Genomic DNA, 25,860 nt, shown 5'->3' with positions numbered 1-25,860 from the left:
TTTATTTTTTATCAGTAAGCTATAGTAGAAACATTGCCAATCCTAATATCAGTTCCCTAAAATTATGATGTCAGCTGATGGTGCATAGAATATACTAAAGTTCAAAAGACTGTCAAATTAAGACCAGACATCTAAAAAATGTGCATGCACCTTGGCAATATGCACCATATTCATCTTAAAGTTTGCTAAATCAGCATTAGAAGAAAAAAGATTCTTACCTACGGAGGCAATTAAAAATCATTCTAATATTAAACACGATTAAATTATTTCACTCATCCTTACATCAGTTTGCTGTATGGTAAGAGAAAAAAGGTTATAAAGTTTGAATACATGGAATTTTGTTTTCTAACGTAAGTGTCTCCTGTAGCAATATTCAAGATGATTGTTATTCACTTCAGATAGGCAGATGTTTTCCTGAGCTAAGATAAACAAAAGTGCCTTTCAAAGGAGGTAATCAGTAAATGAAATTTTTTCTCCCAATCACTTTTTATTACAAAAGTACTTTTTAAAGAACATTTTTCAAAGAAAAAGGAAACTTGAGTAGACAGTACAGAAAGTACAGCTTCTCCTATTTTAAATGTCTTATATTAGTATACTACTTTTGTTACAATAAACTGGTATTGACACATAATTAACTGAATTCTGCAGTTTATTTAACTCTTTAACATTTACCTAATGTCCTTTTTCTATTTGAGGATCCCATCCAGGATACCACATCACATTTAGTTGTCATGTCTTCTTAAGCTCCTCTTGGCTGTGACAGTTTCTCAGACTTCCCTTATTTTTGATGACCTTGATAGATTTGAGGAGTAATGGTCAGATACATTGCAGGATGCCCCTTTCATAGAAATCATGCTTTTCTCGTGATTAGATTAGGGTTATGGATTTACTGGAGGAAGACCACAGAGGTAGAGTACCATTTTCATCAAATTATGTCAAGTTTACGCACTATCAACATAATTTGTAACTGTTGATGTTGACCTTGATAACATCATTGCCTGAAGTCTTGCTTTTCTTATTTCTCCACCACAAAGTCACTACTTTTTCCCCTTTCCCATGTTTTACTCTTTATAATAAAGTCATTATGCATACTGCACACTTAAGGAGTGGGAATTTATGCTCCCCCTCCTTTAGGGTAGAGTATATAAACAACTTATTTTTGAAATTCTTCTGGATAGGAGGTGTTTCTCTTCTTCTCTATGTATTAATGTATTCAATGATTTATTTCCATCATTATTAACTCAGGTTATTCATTTCATTCCTTGAGTATAACCTAATATGACTTTACTTATTTTGTTTCTCAAAGTGCTCCAGTGTTGATAGCTCTTTTACTTGGCTCCTGTGTTCCTTTGACATACTTCCATCATTGTGGATTTTTTTCTGTTTTTGTGGGGGGCTGGGGAGACTGCCTGACTTTCTGGCACTATAAGTTGCTACAGGATCATCTTGTATATTTTCTGCCCAGTCCTAGCTCTTTCTCCAGGGAACCTCGGTTCCTTGGTTCCTCGGTTCCTTTTACTGGAAAATGATGTTAGAAACCAAGTTCTGGGTATGAGGTATATTTGTAGCTATTGAAGTGTTATTTCTTTTACGCCTTCTTAGTTGTCAGAGCAAAGAAATATATTTGTGTTTTTATATGACATATATATGTTATACATATATTACATAATTTGTGTGAAGATGGCCATTAAATTAATAATTAAAATATCTATTTATTAAATTAATCATGACTTCTTCTTACAGTAATTGCAATTTTAATCTCCTGTATATGAACATTTTTGTAATGAGAAATTCAACAGGCTCCTAGAGCAGGTCACCTATATAACAGTGACAATGAATAGCGAATTATGAACAATTTACATTCTAGAAGAAAAGTGGAATAAAATGTGGGTACAAATCAAGGACAGCACCATGTCTTAGAGAAGCAATATGAAGAGGTGGAGAAATCAATGTAATTCATTAAGAGAAACAGCCAACAGCTGGGCATGTGGTATACATTACTAGTGCTGCCCAACACCCCTTCTTGCTCTCCTTCAGGCTCCCTATGCTTCCCTTTCCTCTTGGTGAGGTGCAATCATGAGTCTTGTTATACCCATTGGGTTAGGAGAGGAAGCTATGTGTGTCACAGCAAGCCTGATGGACAGCAGTGATAGTTTAGAAACCCAGTATTTTAGTCTACTAGGGCTCCCATAACAAAATACCACAGACTGGGTGGCTAAAACAGCAGGTATTTATTTTCTCACAGTTCTAGCAGCTGGAAGTCTGAGATTAATATGTCTGCAAGTGTGTTTTCTCCTGAGGCCTCCTTCCTTGGCTTGCTGGTGGCCACCTTCTCACCGATTCCTGACATGGTCTTTGTTCCGTGCATGTGTATCTTTGGTGTCACTGGTCATATTGGATTAGGGCCCACTCTTATGACCTCATTTAACTTTACTTATCTCCTTAAAGGCCCTGTCTTATAATACAGTGACATTGGGCACTAGGGCTTCAACATTTGAATTTGGGGAGAAACACAATTAATCATAACACTAATATTATTTACAATACAAAATATGAAACACAGAAATAAAACGTTGTCATGATAACTTACATGTATTGTTACCTAGACTAGGAGGCTAGGACAATGATACAAAATCAACTGGTAATAATGGGAATGGGAAGGGCCAAATATCTACCACTGTTTTTCAGGGTATGGCAGTTCCTAAGATAGTCCCCTCAGATGCTTGCCACATACCTACATACTGTTTGCTTCTTCTAGAACGATAAAAGATAAAATACAAGTTTTAAGTGCAAGCAGAGAATTCATTTAAAAAACATGCTAAAAATTCAAATGCAGTCTTGTGTTGCTTAATGACATGGATACATGCCAAGAAATGTGTCATTATGTGATTTCATGATTGTGTGAACAACATAAAGTGTGCTTATACAAACCTAGATGGTACAGCCTGCTACACATCCAGGCTACATGGCATAGCCTATTGCTCCTAAGCTACAAACTTGCACAGCATGTTACTGTACTGAATACTGAGGGCATTTGTAATATAATGGTATTTGTGTATCTAAACATAGAAAAGGTACAGTAAAAATAAATTGTAAGAGATTAAAACTGGTAAACTTGTATAGAATACTTACTATAAATGGTGCTTGCAAAACTCAGCATTACTCTGGGTGAGTCAGTGAGTGAGTGGGAGTGAATGTGAAGGCCTGGGACATTACTGTACCCTACTGTAGACTTTATAAACACTCTTCACTTAAGCCACACTACATATATAAAAAACGTTTTTCTTTCTTTAATAATTAACCCTAACTTAATGTAATTTTCTTACTTTATAAACTTAAATTTTCCAATATTTTGACTCTTGTTGTAATACTTAGCTTAGAAAACAAATATTGTATGGTTGTACAAAAATGTTTTCTTTATTTATATTTTTACGAGCTTTTTCTATTTAATTTTTTAATGTTTTATACTTCTTTGTTAAAAACTAGGACACAAACACACATATTGGCCTACACTTACACAGGGTCAAGATGATCAATATCACTGTCTTCACCTTCACATCTTGTCCCACCGGAAGGTGTTCAGTGTCAATAACACACACAGAGCTGTCATCTCCTATGATAACAATGGCTTCTTCTGGAATACCCCCTGAAGGATCTGCCTGAGGCTGCTTTACAGTTATTTTCTTTTAATAAGTAGAAGGAGTACACTCTAAAACAATAAAAATTATAGCATAATAAATACAAACACCAATAACATAGTTGTTTATTATTATCAAGTAGTATATACTGTACATAACTGTAGGTGCTACATGACTGGCAGTGCAGGTTTGTTTATACCAGCATCACCACAAACTCTTGAACAGTGCATTGCAATACAATATTACAGTGGCTACTACATCACGCGATAGGAATTTTTCAGCTCTATTATACTCTTATGGGACCACTGTTGTATATGCTGTCCATTGTTGACAGAGATGTTTTGAAGCACATGACTAGATACACAATTAGGTAGAATGTCATACAAAAATATATAAAATTCTTGAGGTAAGATAATAATTACAATAAATCATTGCCATAATGATAGAAAAAAATCTATGAGGATATTCTGGAAAAACAGTTAATACAGATTAAAATGAAAACCTGAAAAAGTACCAAGGCCAAGAAAGGGAGGAAAGCAGGATCATGTGAGGTCATGTCATCTCGATGATTTTTCTTTGGCAAAACACCTATTAAATCATATGTACCTGCTGTTCTGCGGGAATAAGATTTGTTCTAGGAGTAGCTCCTCCCCAAATTGCTACAGAGCATTTCCCCCTTGGACATGTCAGTGCTATCTTAATCCTAGTTTTTTTTTTTTAACTCATTTTTTTCTTTCTCTTCAAACAATTTATGAATTTAATATTTTCTTGAGCTGTGATATACTGCACCATTTTCTATACACTTTCAAAACAAAAATCCTGTTATTTCAAACTCTTCCTTTTTGTCTCTTCTCCTCAAGCCTATCAACCAATAAGTCCTATCCACTCACACCTTCAGAAAACAACTTTCTAAGACCCAATTTGCATGTCAGCAGAGTTCTAGGTATTAGGATACAGTGATAAGCAGTGTGAAAATTCCATATATTCTGTATATATTCCATATTGGATGATAGGCCATAAAATAAATAAATAAGAAATTGAGTGATAAGTCCCCTGATGGAGAACAAGGAGAGAGGGAGTCAATAACAGGAAACCTTGGATTTACACTCATTATTCTGTTCCTGTGACTCTTCTAATATATTCTCATTGTACTTAGAAAAAAATCCAAATTTAATAACATTTTAGCCCACAAGATGCCATCATCTTGCCCATACAAACTCTTCAAAGTCATCTCCTTCATCTAATACAAACTTTAGATTTAAAAACTATTTTCAAATTTTAGCAAATCTTTTTCAAGTCTCATTTCATTTTCTGGCTGCGACTTATAACTGCATTGAAATAAATATATGTTAAGACCCAATTAGTGTATGGTTTATAATTATTCTATGACATGGAAACCTGAATTCTGCATGTCAAATAAGGAGAGTTAATTTACTAAATTTAGAGCCTTCATAAAATATTTATATAGCCTCCTAAAATCCTTTATTGCATGCAGCAAGGTGCATACGTTAATGGGGTAAGCAGAAGAATGTCCTCCAAAGATGTTACCTTACAGGGTTAAAGGAACTCTGAAAATCTAGGTGGAACCAACACAATCACGATTACTTCCTCTATAATCACACCAATACTTGTAGAGGAAGAAAGGAGGCAGAAGGGTCAGAGTAGATGTGACTACTGAAGTCAAGGTTGGAATAAGGCGACTGTTCACTTTTAAGAGGGAAGAGGGTCACAAGTCAAGAAATGAGGATTGCCTCTAGAAGCTAGAAAAGGCAAAGAAACATTCTAACCTAGAACCACAGAAGAAACACAGCCCTGCTGACACCTTGTTTGTAGCCCAGTGATAATTCTGACCTTCAGAACTATAAGATAATGAATTTATCTAATGTAAGCCAGTAAGTGTATGGTAATGTGTTACAGCAACAAGAAATTAATATACTTAATCCAATAAATGTATAGCTATAGTATTTGGACAAATGTATACAAACACCTGAATAGACTGCTCACAAAAATATGTAGAACTGTTACCACCATCTCAGGTTGTTTGTAAAAAATAACAATTGCTGATTTTTCTCCAGGTCAATACCTTTACTGTGATTCAACCAAGGATGTATAATTCATCTAAATTTTGTTTGAAAATATTAAGATGATCTCTAAGTTTTATATATTTACAAGTCTTTATTTTAATTTTAAAGCATCAAGTATCCTCATTGCTACTTAAAGGAAGTCTTTATTACTGTTAAAAAAAGGAAATAAACTGGTATATTTGTCTAAATAGTCTACAACTTTATTCAGATGAATCAACTATGAATCATATCTATTGCCATATGACTAAGAAAGAAATTGAATCATTGTTTCCATGCATGCATGTTACTACAAAATTGGGCTGATGTTTGGGAATTTTAGGTTTTGTTGTTTTTGTTTGGTTTAATTCAATAAACACACATTAAGCATATACTACATAAGAGCTCGCAATACATTCACAGGGACATTCTGCCATTATACAGCTGTTCAAAATGGAAGTTTTATTTCTGTATTTCTAAATTCACTAAGCCAACGATACAAATATCTCAAAAATATTTTGTAATTTTCATTCCTTCAGGTATTGCCAATAAAATCAAATGTGCTGATCATCTGGGTGTAGCATAATACCTAGTTTGGTCCCATATTTTTAGTTAAAAACATACTAACAAAGCAAACACAAATGTTTTGTATCTCAAATAAAAAATCAAACAGCAATTATTTGATATATGCCTAATTAGAGTCCATTAGTTGTTCATGTAACAAGTATTTTTATACACACATATTCAAAGGTTTCTTAAATGGGCGTGTTCCTGTGTAAGTTGGCAATAAAGAAGAATGCAGTTGTAGTGTGGTTATTAGCCAGCATTTTTATTGAAAACAATGGGCTACTTGTTTTTATTTGAAATTTTCATGCAACAATATTTTCTTAGGTAGTTCAGACACTCTAGATTTTCAAACGTTTACAAAGTGCTGATTTTCATTTACTCTGGGAATTTTCTTTCTTTTTCTATTTTTTTTTTTTTTTTGAGACGGAGTCTTGCTCAGTCGCCCAGGCTGGAGTGCAGTGGTGCGATCTCGGCTCACTGCAAGCTCTGCCTCCCACGTTCACGCCATTCTCCTGCCTCAGCCTCCCGAGTAGCTGGGACTACAGGTGCCCGCCACCATGCCCAACTAATATTTTTTGTATTTTTGGTAGAGACGGGGTTTCACCGTGTTAACCAGGATGGTCTCGATCTCCTGACCTCATGATCCATCCACCTCAGCCTCCCAAAGTTCTGGGATTACAGGTGTGAGCCACCGCGCCTGGCCTATCCTGGGAATTTTCTTTTTTTTTTTCTTTTATTATTACACTTTAAGTTTTAGGGTACATGTGCGCATTGTGCAGGTTAGTTACATATGTATACCTGTGCCACGCTGGTGCGCTGCACCCACTAACTCGTCATTAGCATTAGGTATATCTCCCAATGCTATCCCTCCCCGCTCCCCCCACCCCACAACAGTCCCCAGAGTGTGATGTTCCCCTTCCTGTGTCCATGTGATCTCATTGTTCAATTCCCACCTATGAGTGAGAACATGCGGTGTTTGGTTTTTTGTTCTTGCGATAGTTTACTGAGAATGATGATTTCCAATTTCATCCATGTCCCTACAAAGGACATGAACTCATCATTTTTTATGGCTGCATAGTATTCCATGGTGTATATGTGCCACATTTTCTTAATCCAGTCTATCATTGTTGGACATTTGGGTTGGTTCCAAGTCTTTGCTATTGTGAATAGTGCCGCAATAAACATACGTGTGCATGTGTCTTTATAGCAGCATGATTTATAGTCCTTTGGGTATATACCCAGTAATGGGATGGCTAAGTCAAATGGTATTTCTAGTTCTAGATCCCTGAGGAATCGCCACACTGACTTCCACAATGGTTGAACTAGAAAACCTAGGCAATACCATTCAGGACATAGGCATGGGCAAGGACTTCATGTCTAAAACACCAAAAGCAATGGCAACAAAAGACAAAATTGACAAATGGGATCTAATTAAACTAAAGAGCTTCTGCACAGCAAAAGAAACTACCATCAGAGTGAACAGGCAACCTACAAAATGGGAGAAAATTTTTGCAACCTACTCATCTGACAAAGAGCTAATATCCAGAATCTACAATGAACTCAAACGAATTTACAAGAAAAAAACAAACAACCCCATCAAAAAGTGGGCAAAGGACATGAACAGACACTTCTCAAAAGAAGACATTTATGCAGCCAAAAAACACATGAAAAAATGCTCATCATCACTGGCCATCAGAGAAATGCAAATCAAAACCACAATAAGATACCATCTCACACCAGTTAGAATGGCAATCATTAAAAAGTCAGGAAACAACAGGTACTGGAGAGGATGTGGAGAAATAGGAACACTTTTACACTGTTCGTGGGACTGTAAACTAGTCCTACCCTGGGAATTTTCTAATTCAATGCATTAGCAAGTAGAGAAAACACCTGCATGCCAAAAACAAAAGGAAGCAAAACAAACATAAAATCCATGCGCTCCACAAAGAGAAAGATGAGATATATTTTTAAATGATTAACTCATTGATATCTAACAGTTAATTTGTTTTAAAGATTTGGTTTAAAATATATTTGAAGATCATTAAGTAGAACAGCTACATTCTGTGTTTTTCCCAATTTAAGGTAGTGTTTACATACTATAAGTTATATGAAATTGTCAAAGTCACCTAAATTACCCTCTGCCTCATCATAAAATCATTGACTATTAAAGTTAGACTAGAATTTGAGATCATCACCTTTGGCTCTTTCATTTCTCAGATAAGAAAATGAAGCCAAGGAAAAAAAAATGCTTCAATATAGCAAAAAACTTCTACTCCAGAGGTTCCTAAACTTTCTCAGTTCACAGTGCCCTTAGGTTCTCAGTAGCTTTTTTGTGGTGCTCATAGTACAAAAGAAATGCTAATAAGTTCCCCTTATTAAGTAGTTACATCCAAACAATATTTTTGAATTAAATTTATTAAAAATTATTTATATCCTATAATTTAATAGCTACTTAAATAAAATGATACATGTAAACTGAGAGGAAAAAATAGTATCTTTACGTCATTCTTAACCACAATTACTTATTAACAGTCTCCATGCTCCTGCTAGGCATTGCATGATTTGCCAAGCCTTGGAAACGTTGTATACTGCCATCCTCATTTCCTGTTCCATGTTGATTTTCACATACTATTTGCTTTTTATCACAGCAACTGTTGAAAACTCAGCCTCACAAAAATACGACAAAAAGAAAATGTAATGTGATCTAATGTTAAAACTGTGGACTACCATGAGCTAGTAGAGTATGCAGTATCCAATGGATGTCAAGCATCACCTTCAAAAAATATTAGAATACTTCATTGGCTGTCCCCTGTGAGTTTACTGCCATGTCCCAGAGGGCTTTGGTGCAAAATTAGAGAACCACAGGTCTAGCCAAAGATAGAGATGGTGCTGGAGTTCAGAATTCCTGATTCTATGTTCAATGTTCTTTCCACTATATTCAAAATTCAGAGGTAATATATTTTATTTCTAATACCTTCATTTTTCTACTTCAGCAAATTAACTTTCTAATAAAAGAGAGTACCTACCAACACAAAGCATTAAAATAATTTGTTCAAGATTGAATAGCTGCAGATTTTACCATTTCATCTTATCAAGAGTCTTTCTTAATCCTACTGTGAATCATAGTGTTGAAAGTTATATATGAAAATCTTCTCTTAGTGTTGTATGTTGATTAAGATCAAATATCCTGAAGTCTATGGCTTAGGTTCTTATGTCAGTTCTTCCATTTACTTGACTATGGGTATATTACTTAAACTCTCTACTACAAGTTCTTCACTTGTAAGATAGAGATAACAATAATATTTACTTTAGATTAGTGGCGAGAATCAAATTAACTATTTCTAATAAATTACCCGAGTTAGAATAAGATTCTTCCATTATCTTTCAATCTTCATCATCACACACATATCAAGTAGCATTCCAAGTTTACATGTAACAATGTTGCCTACTGTTATTACCCTATAAAACATCTTAGGTCCCATAAATTTTTACCTACGTTAATTTTAAAATATAAATGGCACATTAAATCACATTTAAATACATGGCATTGAAACACAATATCTGATATACATGTTATAAGCTTTTCACATAATAAAATGAAGAGGTATATACTATGAACAGAGAGAAAATGATTCTCACACACGATACAGCTTATAAACACTACAGTTTGGAATGGCATTTTATACTCTATTATTTTTAGAGGAATCCCAAAATATTAGTCCTTTGTGTATTATCCATGCTCAAATTTCCTCTCATTAAAGGATTGGAAGTGTGGAGATTATTGTATCTCCAGCACTCACAAAAAGTTAATTATAAAATATTTTCAAATGTCATAAAATTGAGAATATCTTTTGCTTTTCCCTCCAAGGTCACATCTTTTGTCCATGAGGAAACACAATCTTCTTAGTCATATCTGCAGTGTGCTTGAGTATTGAGCTAATGGAATGACTAATAATAAAGTCCTAATCCAGTACGCTCTAATTAAATAGATAGCTAAGGGATTTGACTCTTCAGAACATTATGTCTCAGAAATAAAAATGTTTTATTTATATTTTGAAAAGATGAATTCATTATGGTGTGTGAGTGCATACAAATAATTCTAACCTTCTTCATTAACTATCAAAAGCACAAAATTTAGAACAGCAGCAACACTCAATGATGACTAATTCCTCAATATTGGATAAGAATCAAGTAGACATCATGAATTCCTCATGTTTTCTGAAACATGTAGGAAATTAGAACAATTTAGTTCAATTTGGTTGATGAGCTAAAATTTATCTTAGAGCTATATATGAATAATTGACTTAAAAATCATGTGTGCACTTAGAATGTATTGTTGTTGTTGTTGTTAACAGTCCAAACAAGTACAGTGTCTTGGTGTGTTTTTTCACCTCCAGTGCCCAGGATGGCATTTCTTGATGGAAGCATGAATGTGGATGTGAGTGGGTAAGTGGAGAGATTGGGTTTTCCTTATCTCCAAGGTGTTTATGTAGGAAATTTTTTTCTGATTCAAACTACTAGGATTTAAGAGTAAATGTAGTCATTAAAACTGTGTTCCTGGTATTAAGAAAATGAAATTTGTGAAGAGAATTTAGGCATTTAGTTTGCAGATAAACATTCAACAATTATATATTTAACTTATCCTCGGTTTTGTTATTTGCTAGATCAGAATGAGCTATGATAAACCACCAATTAGAAACCTCTGGTTTCTACTATCAGGCATCTTGAATAGAAATCTCTAAAATCAAAATCTGCCAAATTGGGGCAGGGCTTCTATACTTTTTTAAACACCAGAGATCACTGTAATGTTCAGGCAAGGTAAGAAATGCTAACATGGAACTTTTAAGGGCTTTAATTTGAACCTGGAGAATGGGTAAGATTTTGTTGTTAAAAAATAAAGGGGAAAGAATTTTAAAAAGAATATAATTAATAATGTGTTCAAAAGTTAACATTATTTACCAACTTCTATGCCTCCTCCAAAGCCGAGGTCAAAATCACCTTCATGAATACTATTTTGATTCCACATGCTTTGTGTTCTAGCCTATGTTAGCCTATTACTTATTTCTGTAGACGTCCATGCTGTAGGTTTGCCTTTGTAGGCTATAGGTGTTTTTGCTCTGCCCTTCCTTTATCTGACAAAATAAGAGGAGAGACTAGATTAAGACTACTCAAAACTAAACAAAACTTACCTACAAATGTGTAAATGCCTTTCGATCACCATTTCAGCAAACATTTTCACATATTCAGCTGAATTAGTCACTCCCATTTCTATCCTCTGATAGAATTTTCTTCATGTCCTTTTTATAGATTTAATTATGTTACATTATGGAGTCAGTTGTGTTTTGTGTTGTATGATGCTCTCCTTAGGTAGAAAAGAAAATAAAGACTTGATGCTCTTTCTAATCCCTAAGAAGTTCGCACAGTGTCTGGCAAACAGATCATAGAAATATTCATAATGCTGAAGCTCCTCTGCTATTCTGTACTTTTTCAATAACACTTATTATAAATCTGTCTTTTATTACATTGTGTGTGGGTGTATTCTTGTGCATGTGTGAGAATGTAATATCTGCTACTTGTCTGGAAGTTCCTTGAAAGAGTGGACTAGGTTTTCTTCTAACCTGAATCCACCTATCCCACATAGAATATAGTAGATACTTTTTTCTTGTTAATTGAATTGGGGATAGCCTAATTGTATTCAAAACTACTGGGACAACAGGTTGCAAAAAATAGATTCGGAAAAACTTTGAATGTTAGGATGAAAGTATTGACTCGATTCAGTAGAGCGTGAACCATCACTATGGTTTCTTGAAGGGATAAAACTAGGTATAATGGGAAAAAGAGATTGCTCTGCTCTTTGTTAGTTGTATATTTTTGATGAATTCTCAGACCTTTTCTACATCTCAGTTTTATCATGTGTGAAATGAGAGGACTGGACAATGCCTGTGGATTCAAAACCTCACTGATAATCAGAATCAACTGGGGAGATATATAAACATACAGATTTGTTTCCATCCAAATAAATCTGAATCTCTATGAGTGGACTCCAAAAGTCTAGATTTTAACACATTCCAAGCTTATTCTGATAATCAAGTATGGTCCATGTTATGGACTGAATGTTTGTGTCTCCTCAAAATTCATATATTGAAACCGTAACCCCAATGTAATGGTATTTGGTGGGGCGAGGACTATGGAAGGTAATTTGGTCAGGAGAAGGAGCCCTCATGGATGGGATTAGTGTCCTTATAAGAAGATGCCAGAGTTCTTTTCCCACCATGTGAGGACACAGCACACAGCAAGACAATGGCTGTCTATAAACCAGGAACAGGGCCCTCAGCAAGAACTCGACCCTGCTGGCACCCTATTTCAGACTCCAACCTCCAGAACTGTGAGACATAAATTTCTGTTATGTACAAGGCACCCAATGCCATTTTTGTTATAGCTGCCCAAACTGACTTAGACAGACCAATAGCATCAGCATCACCTGGAAACTTGTTTAAAATTAAAATTGTCTATTTCCACCCCACACCTACTGAATCAGAAACTTTGGGTGGTGTCCAGCAACCTAAGTTTTAACAATTCATCCAGATAATCCTCACACACACCAAAATTTGAGAGCTACTTGGCTAAAGGATAGATAAAATACCTGTCAACTTTGCTATTCGGTAATTATATGATCAAAGGTAAGCAGGAAGACTATTCAAGAGGAGACTCTAGAGGAAGGAGACCCATATCTAAACAAAATGTATGTATAAATACCTCTTCTTTTTTTTTTTTTTTTTTTTTGAGACAGAGTCTCGCTCTGGGTCTCTGTCACCCAGGCTGGAGTGCGGTGGCGCTATCTCAGCTCACTGCAAGCTCCGCCTCCTGGGTTCATGCCATTCTCCTGCCTCAGCCTCCCGAGTAGCTGGGACTACAGGTGTCGGCCACCGCGCCCAGCTAATTTTTTGTATTTTTAGTAGAGACGGGGTTTCACTGGGGTCTCGATCTCCTGACCTCGTGATCCCCCTGCCTAGGCCTCCCAAAATGCTGGGGTCACAGGCGTGAGCCACCGCGCCCGGCCATAAATAACTCTTCTATAAGGGAAAGATTAACCTGAATTCAGCCTTTAACCATAACACAAATAGTTGTACTTAGCTTTCAAATATCAGATCATGTCACATTTTCTTAGAAGTGTGTTCTTAAATTTATACCCGAACCTCACTAAATCCTTCTCTCTTCTCTCACAACACCCTCTATAAATACTTATTATACGCTTATAATACAATATAACTGTAGTTTATTCTCAACTATTTAAGGAAAAAACTATTTCTTGTTATCTCTATAAACCTACCTTCTAACATAATATCTAGCTCCTCATGGATATTCTGGAATGTTTAATAAATGAGTAAAGTGAGTACCCTAAATAACGAGTGATACAAAAATGTGATTCTAATTAATTCTTTCTTTTTACTTTAGTTAAATTGAGATTATTGAGTGATTTAAATAATTTGTATTTCAAATAAAAATGCTAATTTTTCAGTTGATAGCACTTTCTAATTATTTGTAAATAAATTAAGCTATAAAAAAGGACATGCCCAAAAGATAAACAGGCAAATATCTAGTTGTCAGCTTTTAGTAAATGATCCATAACACTAAGTTACCTAAGAATTTGGCTGGAGACAGTCAATGTTTTTATAAGCTGGCAGCTTAAATTGTCTTTTAAGAAACACCTGAAATGTTACAATAATATAAAAATAAAGCAGATATGTAAATTTGTTAGTGTTGTGAAAACATTTTTCTTCTGTTGCAAATATATAAATACTTGCATATGTTTTAAAGATTGAAGTTCTAAGTCCGTTATTTTAATAGCTAACAGCTGTCTGGTAGGAAAAAAACTGCTTTCTCATTATTTATTTAAGTAGAATTTTACTAAGTATATTAAAAATAGTTTTCAATTAAAAATATGCATAATGGTATGATAGGCCTTATTTGATATTATAAAAATATCAACTATATTTTTCTCCCTATTTCTTTAAAGAATCTAGTGGTATCAAAATAAAAAATATATAACTTGTAATACTATGGATTTTAGCCTATTTCAAGGTCTAACCTTTCCTTTCTTGTGATACGGTATCACTGCTTATTCTAGGGCAATAGAAAATGGAAACTGATACATGTATTCTCAGCTAATTGAGGAAACATCTATTCCATCTACACTTGAACAAAGTACTTTTCATCTATATTTTCTTTCTTTAGGTTATATTTCCTTCTTTTGTACAGAAATTGTCTAATGGCTATCACTATTTCATTTTTCTAAACCCCTTTTTAATCAATTCATAACACTGATAATTTTATTACTTTTGATAGTTATTATATTTAATTATAAATTATACATAGAATGACATCAGCTAAGGCAGATAATTAACTTATAATATGAAGCTATGCATTGGCTGTCTTGCATACCATATGCTAATCCTGCATAGAAATATACTTTCTTAAACTTCCCAAGATCACCTCTCCTTTAGGGCTATTTCTTCAGAGAAATAAATGGGGCAGTGTTGGTTTGGTTCACCAGGCTTTCCAGTGAAATTTCCAATAAATTCTATTACTCTCTGACCCAACATTTGCACATCTTTTTCAAGGGGAAAGTTTCTGGCCCTAGTCTCAAAGCACTATCTTCTTTCAACTAATTCCACCACAGAAACAACTGCTTCAAGGTGATAGCTAGCAGCTGTGTTCTGGGTGCAGAAGGCTGTTCTTTGACAGTTGGATTTCTTAGGAGGTATCTAGTAAACTCTAGAATTTCTGCTATTTTGCTGTGGTTAGTCCTAGCAAAGGATATAGCTAGAACCCATAATTAAAATTAAATGTCTGCATCATCTCTTATGGTAGTTTGCTCATATTATTCAATTATTGAAGATACGGTCTTTCAAGATAAAGATGACACTACCGCTCCCCTCTTAAGAAGATTGTTTTGCAAGTAACTTTAAAGAATGTAGAGTGACTCATACACCCTCATTTTGTTTCCCTTTGTGACCAAAAACAAGTATTTTGGGAGAGTTGGCTGCATTAGAAGTTCAATCTGTGGTCACTGAAAAAGCTGATAGACCGAAGTGCTGAACTCAACAGCACTCTGCCCTTCCTCTTATTTCCCCCTTTATCCCGTCCCAAGAGAAAAGTGAGTAGAAGTTTTGGGTCAATTCTACCAAATTTTTCATATTGATGGTTTTTTACAAACAACAAAAATAACAAAACTGATGTCCTAAATAATCCTAAGTTGAAGATTCATAATTTGAAACAAAATATTGTAGCCTGTATAATAATTCTGAAAAGAATATTTATACAGAACGTCATACATACAAGTGTTTCTATTTTATTCAATCAATGTTAATTTGCTCCATTATTGTCTTCCACTTAGGAAGACAAATATCAGAGAATTTTGTCTTCATAGCTTTGGATTTCTTAAAATCAACTACACTGAGATTCAAAAGTCCATATCCAAAGGAATAGCATGCTTTAGAACAATCTAGGTTTCATTTGTTCTTAAAGAGTTTGAGAGAAACAAATAAAACATCACTCTCAAAGTGATAATAAACCTGGGATAATAGTAACAACAAGAGCATTTGTTTTACTTTGAAAAACAAAAATATTAAATTAAATTACCCTAAGATTTTTCTTCTAGTATTTTAAAGATATGAGTATTGAAACTATTAAATAATTTCATTTTTAAAAAATTTAAAGAAAAGATCCAAAATGTTACAATTATCTGTCAGCTTTTGATTGATTTCTTTTTCCTTTCCTATATTTTCGAAATGTATATAATAAATTTAGATTACCTTGAAAACCAGAACATATAAATTCCATTATATGTTCTCAGAAATTTTAATGTCATTTGCTGTTTTTCAAAATTTTCCGTACATGTCAGTCCTTTGGATGACAAAGTGACTCATCCTTTGTTCCCTCTCTTATTCACATTCCCCAAGGGCAGGAGTCAAGACACTTGCATCTGAGTTCCTCAGACATGACTTTACAAGGTCCTTGGCATAATGTGTTTTTATTTTCAGAAAATAATTTCTGCAAAAAAAATCACAATGAATTTACAGACAGTAAAGAATAATACCTGGAAACAAGTAAAAAAAGATGTCTAGCTCACATGAAACTAAGAGCTTATATTTTAAAATTTACTGCTTAAAAATTATTTGCTCTCCCTCAGTCAAAAAGGTAAGAAAAAAAAATAATACTAAGTTTTCATTAAGCCCTTTCTCCAAACAGACTCAGAGGTGAAGTCAGGAGCAAGAATTCTGACCAAAGATTACACTTGGGACTAACAGAAAAAAAACAGTGAAAAAGAGAGAACATTTTGTTGCCTCTATTCCAGACCCCATTAACACAAACTCTCACTACTGTAGACCATTTTCCACAGAATCCTACCAGAGAATTTATTACACCTAAGAATCAGATAACTCTGGAAAACGTCCTGGTTAAAACATTTATTGCTAGCAAAGTCTTGGGAATTTCTATTCAATCTCTTCTCCCTTATTCTTACCCCCAAAGGTTTATTGCAGTAGTTCCATGAAGTTAGGGACAGTGGGCACCTCCCCCAGAGTGCCATGTGGAAGACTCCATCTTGTAAATAGTTGCCTCACTAAAACATTGTCCCATAAAGCTTAGCAGGTCATACCTTCAGGGAGTGGGGATAAGAAATAATAATATCTCAGTAGCCTCCAATTTCAAGAGCATGAGTGTTAAGGATGAGATTTGAGAGCCCATAATCCAAAAGGAGGAAATGAAAAGAGCAATAATAAAAACTAACATATCCTTGGAAAGCAAGTTAATATTTTTAAGAGAAAACATTTCTCACCAATTATTTTACTTAAAAAAGGAGGAGAAATCTTACTATCTTTGGTTTTATAATCTTTTGAGGAAATATGTATGTAAAATCAGAATCTAAAAGCTGCTATTCTTAACATTTTTGTTGGTAACTTATTTAGGTCCATTGATTAATGATTAAGAATACCTATCCTTTCATAGTTTAGTGATTGATTTTACCACTTGAGAAGCATTTTAGATGTGAGGAAGGATTTTAATGCGTTAATTTCTGTATATTTGAAATTTTGGGTTATCTAGTTTTAAAAAATTGGTTTAGTTCACAGCTGTTACATTACCTAAGAATTTAGTTGTTAAAATGTATGAACTATAATCAATGTAAAATTATTGAATATAAAAAGAAAACTCAAACAATTGCCAGGATGTTTCCAAATATTAGCATTATTAAATTTTATCATTATTTAGAGCCTAGCAATAAGAGGAAATTGTTTATGTCTGCATTGTAGACATTGGCAAATCATTCAAGTCAAGAAAAAATTCCCCAAACTGCTGTATGGCAGAATAGGCGTCTGTGTCTATACAACTCTGCAACAGATTGGAACAAGAGCCATCATTAAGCAACGTGTTTATCAAAACAATGCCCAACAACAAGATGAATATGGCTTTTGTTTTTTGGGTTTTTTTCAATGAATTTACTAGTTGGTTTGGTATCTCATGCACACAGTCTGAAGGACAGGGGAATTGACTGCAAAAATCTGGGAGGACAAACAAAAATATTAAGTCATTCTGGAAAGTATTTAGACATGAAAAATGGATCAGTAGCTTCCTCAAATCAGGCCAGATTAGTGTAGAGATATAAAGCCTTGAATAGGTGATGTTATTGATATACTAGTAAGTTCAACATTAGGGAATTTGATACATTCTTTCTTATTCTTCCCTCCAAGGCACACCAAATTGAGCTTGATGAACAACAAACCTTTCCAGGAAATGCTGGCCTTCCACAATTCTCTTCTTACTTCACAAAATAGCCAGTTCTACTTTCACAAATTTTCTTATTCATCCTAGACATATTACTACAGATAAGTGTATATGCCAAGTTATTTTTTCTTGAAAAACAGATAATATTTGCCATTATCATGGCTTCACAAATTGAACATCAACAGAGACAGAAACTGTGTGAGGTCTGGAAGCTCGAGAAGAATGTAAGAACTTCGATGTGATGTTTCTTCACTGTTACTAAAAGACAAATCCCTGTTCTATGGAATGCTACCCCAAGGAGGCTCTTGACTCTTTAATCATTGTAGAAATAAAAGCAGGTATGTGCTCTGGCTATCCGTTGCCTCATGTCCCTGAACAGAAGAGTCTTTAATGCTGAAAAAAAATTGATGTTTAAAACATTTTCACTTCAGAGATGAATGAAAGTACACATAAATAGTGAAGATGTTCTTGAGTATGACAACATGAACATAAAAATCATGTGGGTTTATGAACACATACAAAAAATGGCCAAAATATAATAGAAACATTAAACCAAAAAGTCACTATTACTCAATATTATGGAATTGTCAACAATATTCTAAACTCTACTGATTGGCATTCATGCATATATGCGTATACAGACAGATTCATAGATTCATGCACACAAGGACTTTCTTTGAAACAAATAATTTGTTTGTAATAAACTTTTTATTTTGGAATAATTTTAGATTTGCAGCAGAGTTCCAAAGATAGTACAGAGTTCTCATATACCCTGGTTTCAGTTTCCCCTACTCTATTGTCTGACTTTACCATTATATATTTTCAAAACTAAGAAAACAACATTGTTACATTACTTTTAACTAAACTCCAGACTCTATTCTTATTTTACCAGTCTTTCCATTTCTGGAAATGTCTGTTCCAGTTCCCAATCCAGGATTCCATATTGTGCTTACTTCTTACATCTGAAGAGCTCCTCTAGCTCCTGACAGTTTCTCAATCTCCCTTTGTTTTCATGACCTTGAAGTTTTGAGAAGTACTGATTAGGTATTTTATAGAATGCCATTCAATTTGGGTTTGTCTAGTGTATTATGATTAAACTGATTTTATAGGTTTTTGGAAAAATTACATTGAATATAAAGTACCCTTCTAAATAAGTAATATCACGGGTAGATGACATGAACATTAGTTGTTACTGGTGATGTTAACTTTGATCATTTTGTTAAGGTGGTGATTACCAGGGTTCTTCACTGTAAAGTTACTATTTTTCCCTTTCCATACACTATTCTTTGGAAGAAAGTCACTAAAATATAAAATATTCAGCAATTGAGTGTGAGTGTTTGGCTCACACTCAAAGGTGGCAAGGTTGTAGGGGGTCATAAAACTTCATCTCCTGGAGAAGGGATTTTATACATGTATTGTTAGGAATTTTATGTAAGGAATATTTATCTCCTTGCCCCAATATATTTATTCAACAAATCATGTTTATCACTATAGACCCATAGATACTTATTTTATATTTTATACTATAATTCAATACTACATTATTCATTTTGTTGCTCAAATTGTTCAGCTTTGGCCATTGGGAGCTCTTTCAAATTGGCTTCCATGTTCCTTGAACACAGCTGCATCCTTTTGTTTCTGGTTTGTTTTGTTTTCACAATTTATTTCCTGGTAATGCAAGATGGTGAGACTCATCTTATACTTTTTCGACCTCAGCTTTAGATTCAGCCATTTCTCCAAGGACTCCTTGTTCATTTTATTGGAGTTGGACAACGAGTAGAAAAAATGAATTTTTAACAGAATCAAGATCAGTGTCTTGAAAGGCCATCAAATATATGCCATTTTTTAATTTTCATAAGCACAAACACAGTATCAAAATTTAAAAAGTACAATGTATAGTAACCTTTTAATCAAAACACTTCCTCACAGGTGGAGGCTAAAAGCCTGCCATTGTTTGTGGTTGCTGTTGTTTAGCAGCTGATACAGGTGTTCTGGTGATGCTACTGTGCTGCTTAGTTACCCTGAACACATTATTTTTTTTTTTACTGAATTAATGGTATGTCATATTTTTCACTATTAAGTGCTTGTATGTGAATAAGTATAAGACAATGATTACTTATCAGTAGCATATAAATCCAGAGTCAGGAACGATGATGATACTAAACACAGATTGTCCACATGGGTGGCTGATACAGTGACACCTTTGTTTTCTGATAGTTCAACGTACACAAATTTGTTTTACACACAAAATTATTTTTAAAAATTTACCTTATTTCACTATCATTGCCCAAGAAAAACATCTGTTACTATTTATTTCACTGTAATTTTGAACCTCCCTATGTTGTTCTGAAGCCATTCAACTTTTGTAAGAAAACCATTAATTTATTTTTATAATTTCACATCTTTCTAAAAGGACTGTCATCTCATCATAACTATTCTGTTTATTAGCCATATGGCCTTGGGAAAATTACTTAACCTCTCTAATCCTGTTCACCTCTCAAGACTCCAGTAAGTTTCCAATGAAATGGCAGACATAGACATACTTCATAAATTATAAAGTACCAGATAATATACATAATGTCTTAGGAAATACAACTATCAATTTTGTAAACAAATATCTTCCTTAGGGTTGACCTATTTGCTAAAACATGTCATTGTACTCCTTTTTCAGTCAGTTATATCCTGTAATTGAGACAAATAAGTGCATAATTTTACATAGTATAAGCAGCCCTAGCCTTCTTACAACTCACACTTACACCGCTTGACAAACTGCTCCCAAGACTGATATTTAACCAGAAACCATTTGTAGGCCCTAACAGTTATTTGTGGTTGGTATTTATTATGACTAGTGATTTATTTCTGTCTTAATGGGCAGCTGCATATTTTCTGATTATAGACAGACATGCCATACTGGTTGCTGAATATTTTATATGTCACCTTGATCACACACATTTATCTCAGACAGATAATACACAAATAACTAGCTCTTCCTTGGCATCCCTACATAAATCTTACTCCAGTCTCTGTTTTCTTCTGGCCTGACAGTCCCATGGGTCTCTGTTCACAATCATGTGGCTTCAAGATTGTACTTAAGTGTCTCCGCTGAAGACAATCAGGTGGCAGTGAGCACAGCCATGAATGAGGAAGAGGTAAACAAAGGGATAGTGGGCTTCATTAAACCATAAGGGCAGCAAGTCTCTTTGGGACCCTTACAACGGATGAGGTAATTCGGTCATATTGATTCTAAAAGACTCCAACTTTCTTAAGTGGCCACTTTAAGGGACAGCAGCATAATTTGGCCAGATGAGCTTCAGTAAATTTAAAGAAAGTTTACCTTTATTATTCATACTTAATATTCATTATTCTAAAATATTCCTTTAAAAAGTACAATCTAATGACTGTAATAGCCCAGAAATACAATGTAACAGGAGGAAACTGTGGCCAAGGCAAAAACACCTACAATTTGTAAAAGAATAGTTGGAGTCAATGAAATAACCTTGTTATAACCTGTTTACATAGTGTTGGCACAGGGCAGTCCTGTAGTAAATGCTTGTTCTTTCATTGCTGCATTAGCAAAATAAATGCTGTTCTATGTTGAAACTCTGAATCACATTAAATTAGCACTAACATGACAATGAAGCTGCAGAATGGTATATGGGTACATCTCAGGAAGGAGCATTTTCCACTAATAAAATGAAGTAGCAGTGAAGTACAAAACTATAACACAAGAATTTATCTTGTGTGTATGGAGAATATATCCATGCCAAAAATGAGTGTTCGTTCTGATTCAAATTTGTGAACTTCAGCAAAAGAAACACTTCAGAGAAATTCATCTTCATGAAAAAGAATTGTTATACGAAAGTTTCATGCTATTTAAAATGGGCTTTGTAAATAATATGACTCATTTATTTTACATATTGTCACTGTGTCTCTACAACAGACAAAGCAAAACACTTGATATTACACAGCTTCTACTCTCAAGCAGCTTACAATCAGAATTCAGAATCTCACCTCCCAACCTGTCCTCTTCAATATCCCCATCTCAGTATATTACCCATTTCTCATATAAGGAAGTTATCTTTAAAATCTCCTGCTCTTATGTCCCATAGCCTATCAAAAATCAAGTCCTGATATTTCTACTTTGCAAATATCTTTCAACTTCTTCTGAGCCTCTCCATCTCCCTTTCTTCAGCCCCAGTTCAAACCACCATCCTCTGTCTTCTGCATCCCTCTGGCTGAGAACTCAGGCAGTGAAGCCAGATTGTCTGAAATGAATTACTGGCTCTGCCACTTAATATATGTGGAACCTTGGTAAAATTGTTTCTCTTCTGCTATAGTTTGAATGTTTTTGTGTTCTAAAATTTATATGTTGAAACTTGTAAACCAAAAATGTATCTGAGATAAGTCTCAATCAATTTAGTGTATTTTGCCAAGGTTAAGGATATGCCTGAGACACAGCCTTAGGAGGTCCTGACAACTTGTGCCCAAGGTGGTCAGGGTACAGCTGCTTGGTTTTAGACATTTTGGGGAGACATGAAACATCAATCAATGCGTGTAAGATGTACCGCAGTTTGGTCTGCAAACACAAAAAAACTCGAAGCAGGAGCTTCCAGGTCACAGATAGATTTAAAGATTTTCTGATTGGCAATTGGTTGAAAGAGTTATTATCTAAAGACCTGGAATCAATAGAAAGGAATGTCTGGGTTACAATAAGGGGTTGTGGGGCCAGGCACGGTGGCTCACGCCTATAATCCCAGCACTTTGGGAGGCCGAGGTGGGCAGATCATGAGGTCAGGAGTTCGAGACCAGCCTGGCCAACATGGCAAAACTCCGTCTCTACTAAAAATACAAAAATTAGCTGGGCATGGTGGTGCACACCTGTAATCCCAGCTACTCAGGAGGCTGAGGCAGTAGAATCCCTTGAACCCGGGAGGTGGAGGTTGCAGTGAGCCGAGATCATGCCACTGCATTCCAGCCTGGGTGACAAGAGCAAGGCTCCATCTCAAAATAAATAAATAAATAAATAAATAAAACAAAATAAGGGGTTGTGGAAACCAAGGTTTTATCATGCAGATGAAGGCTCCAGGTAGCAGGATTTCAGAAAAAATAGACTGTAAATGTTTCTTATCAGATTTAAAGAGTCTGTTCTATCAGGCTTAAGATCTCTGTGTTGATGTTTGTCTGACCCCCATTTCCCAACATGGCCTGAAATAGTTTTTCAGAATAATTTGGAATGCCCTTGGCCAAAGGGAGAGGTGGGCTTAGAATTGGCTTAGAATTTTATTTCTGGTTTACAAACTTAATCACCAATGTGATATTACCATGTGAGGCCTTTGGGAGGAGATGAGATCATGAGAGTGGAGCCCTTCTGAATGGGATTAGTTGCCCTTATAAGAAAAGCCCAAGAGGTCTGCCTTGGCCCTTCCACCAATAAGAACACTGCCAGAAGTCACTACCTGTGTACCAGAAAGTAGACCCTTACCAGACATTAAATCTGCTGGCACCTTGACCTTGGACTTCCCAACCTCCACATCTGTGACAAATACATTTCTATTGTTTACAAGCCACCCACCTTATTGTATTTTGTTATGGAAGCACGAATGGACTAAGACATCTTCCTTGTGCCTCAATTTGCTCATAGTTAATAGGAAAAATAAAATGGCCTACCTCATTATAATGATTTAATTAGCCATTACATTGTGTAAAGTCCTTAGAAGAAAGCCTAGCAACAAGTACTCAATACATTTTAGATAGCCTTCCTTGCTGCAATAACTTACGAACATTCATCTGCATTTTTGCCCATTTGGGGTTATTATATTGTTTTGGTTTTTGGTATGGCCAGAGTGATTTCTCCTCTTCTTAAACAAAATCCTGATTGTGTCAAGACCTGGTTTCAATGACTTCCCATTATTCGTATGTTTAAACAAAATCCTTAATATTGCCTACAGGTTCCTGAATGATCTGGCCTTTTTTTTTATCTTCTTGCTTTTCTTTGTTTCTTTTTTCCATCCTCAATGTCTGTCAGCTTTTGTTAAATTAATACTAATGCTCAACAAACAACTCCCCCAAATCTCATGGCTTAAAATTTCAAGGGGTCATTTTTGCTCACATTACATGCCAAGTCTGGCCAGCTATTCTCTGAGACTCTTCTCTAGCCTGTGAGGGAAATGCAATTTTCACCACTTTCTTCACATTTGGGGATGAAGGTGGAAAGATCCATCCGGATTCAGTGCATTCTGTTCTATCAAGGCAGAGGACAGGAAAGAGGATCCTAGTTAAGCCATGCCATTGCATCGAAAGTACTAGCTCATGTATGAAAAATATTATGTCTATTCATATCTCGATGTCCAAAAAGCAATATAGCCAAGCCCAAAGTCTAGGCAGGGAAGCATCCAAGGGCAGAAAAGGAATAAGTAATTGTGAAAGAATATATAATTCAGCACACTTGGTGAGCTCCACAACATTGGTCTCTGTTTCTTTCCTCATGTGTTAGTGTCTTGCTTTAAGTTCTTGCCACATGCAGTCTGCCTAGAATGTTTTCTTTCCTGCTCTTCATCTTCTACAAATATACACAAATTTCCATCTGTTAGATTTTCCCTCATAGCACTTTTCAGAATGGCAAGTGCAAAAATAATTGATTCACTGATTCTTTAATGTCTTCCTCCCCACCACCAAATCTAAGTTTGAATAAAAGTGAAAGCTGTTTGGGGACAGAAAATGTGTTAAATCTCTTCTGAAAGATCACCATTTAACACATTTAAATGTGTTAAATCTCTTCTGAAAGATTACCAACTCAACTAATATTTGAGTTGCCTAAGGACATGGAGGTTGACATTTTGATTAGCAAATGCCCATCAGATACTTGAGGCAAGCCTATGAATTTAATACAGTTTTCCAGTCTCTACTTTTGACTTCGTGGTGAAGATACAGCCCAAAGGACTTTGGAATTAAGACAACAATAAAAATTGAGATTACATTACAAGCAGTAATAAAAACAAGAAGTTATAGGTACCACAATAACAGGAAATCTGTTTTTGGAACATCAAGGATTTTTAAGAATATCATTATTCCCATTCTGTTTTCTGTCAGGATTCTGGAACTTTTATTTTTCTTGCAGCACAGGGAAAATTAGTTAGAATGAAGCTAAAATCTATTTGTTATTTATAATGTACTTTGTTTTCATATTGAAAACATCAGTGATCTCATCATGCTAGTTTTGCTTTTCCCTTATAATGTATATACTTTTTTTAAAAACAGCTTATTTTCCACTTGCATACAACAATGGGTTGCACATTCCTGAGGTCCTTAGGAATTATTCTAAAATTGACTGCAGTGGGGATTTCCTTTGACACTTAACCATGTCACTTCAAAGACTATTTTTAAGTACGTGCCCAAGAGAAAACACAGTTTCTGGTTTTAATTTATTTATAATCATGAAGCCTAGCAACATCTTAAAAAATAAAAATAAAAACTCTTCCTGGACAAGAAGGGCTATAGTTTCCCACCCCTCTCCCTTTGCAATATAACAATGATGGAATACCAAGAAACAGAATGAACACAACGTACAGCTTGACCTCAATGCAGTCACGTCAAAGAACAGAGGTAATGTAAGAAACTCACTCAGCTTTCAACGTGCTTCTCCTGGGGATTGCATAGCATCATGAAGGGAAGTTCTCTGGGAAGGAAAAAGAGAGCAGAGCTTGCTTTATACTCATATTATATACATCTCTATGTATATTAGTGTATGTGTTTTACACTACATTAAATCTTTTGTTGGCTTTCAGACTCACTCTGAGTGAAAGTGCACAACC

General features: G+C 34.9%; 1 long non-coding RNA gene across 1 annotated transcript in view; it reads right to left on the bottom strand.

Moving 5' to 3' along the window:
* LOC101928516 (uncharacterized) overlaps positions 1-25,860 on the bottom strand; it is a 621,277-nt gene that overhangs the window by 317,929 nt on the left and 277,488 nt on the right. Inside the window, exon 2 of the long non-coding RNA NR_110856.1 lies at positions 25,670-25,724. This is a non-coding gene — a long non-coding RNA (uncharacterized LOC101928516). The remainder of the gene's footprint in view (positions 1-25,669; positions 25,725-25,860) is intronic.

This window comes from Homo sapiens, chromosome 6, assembly GCF_000001405.40.
Source record: "Homo sapiens chromosome 6, GRCh38.p14 Primary Assembly".
Taxonomy (NCBI): Eukaryota; Metazoa; Chordata; class Mammalia; order Primates; family Hominidae; genus Homo; species Homo sapiens.
The sequence above is the reverse complement of the archived record's forward strand: the minus strand, read 5'-3'. Positions and strand labels throughout refer to the sequence as shown.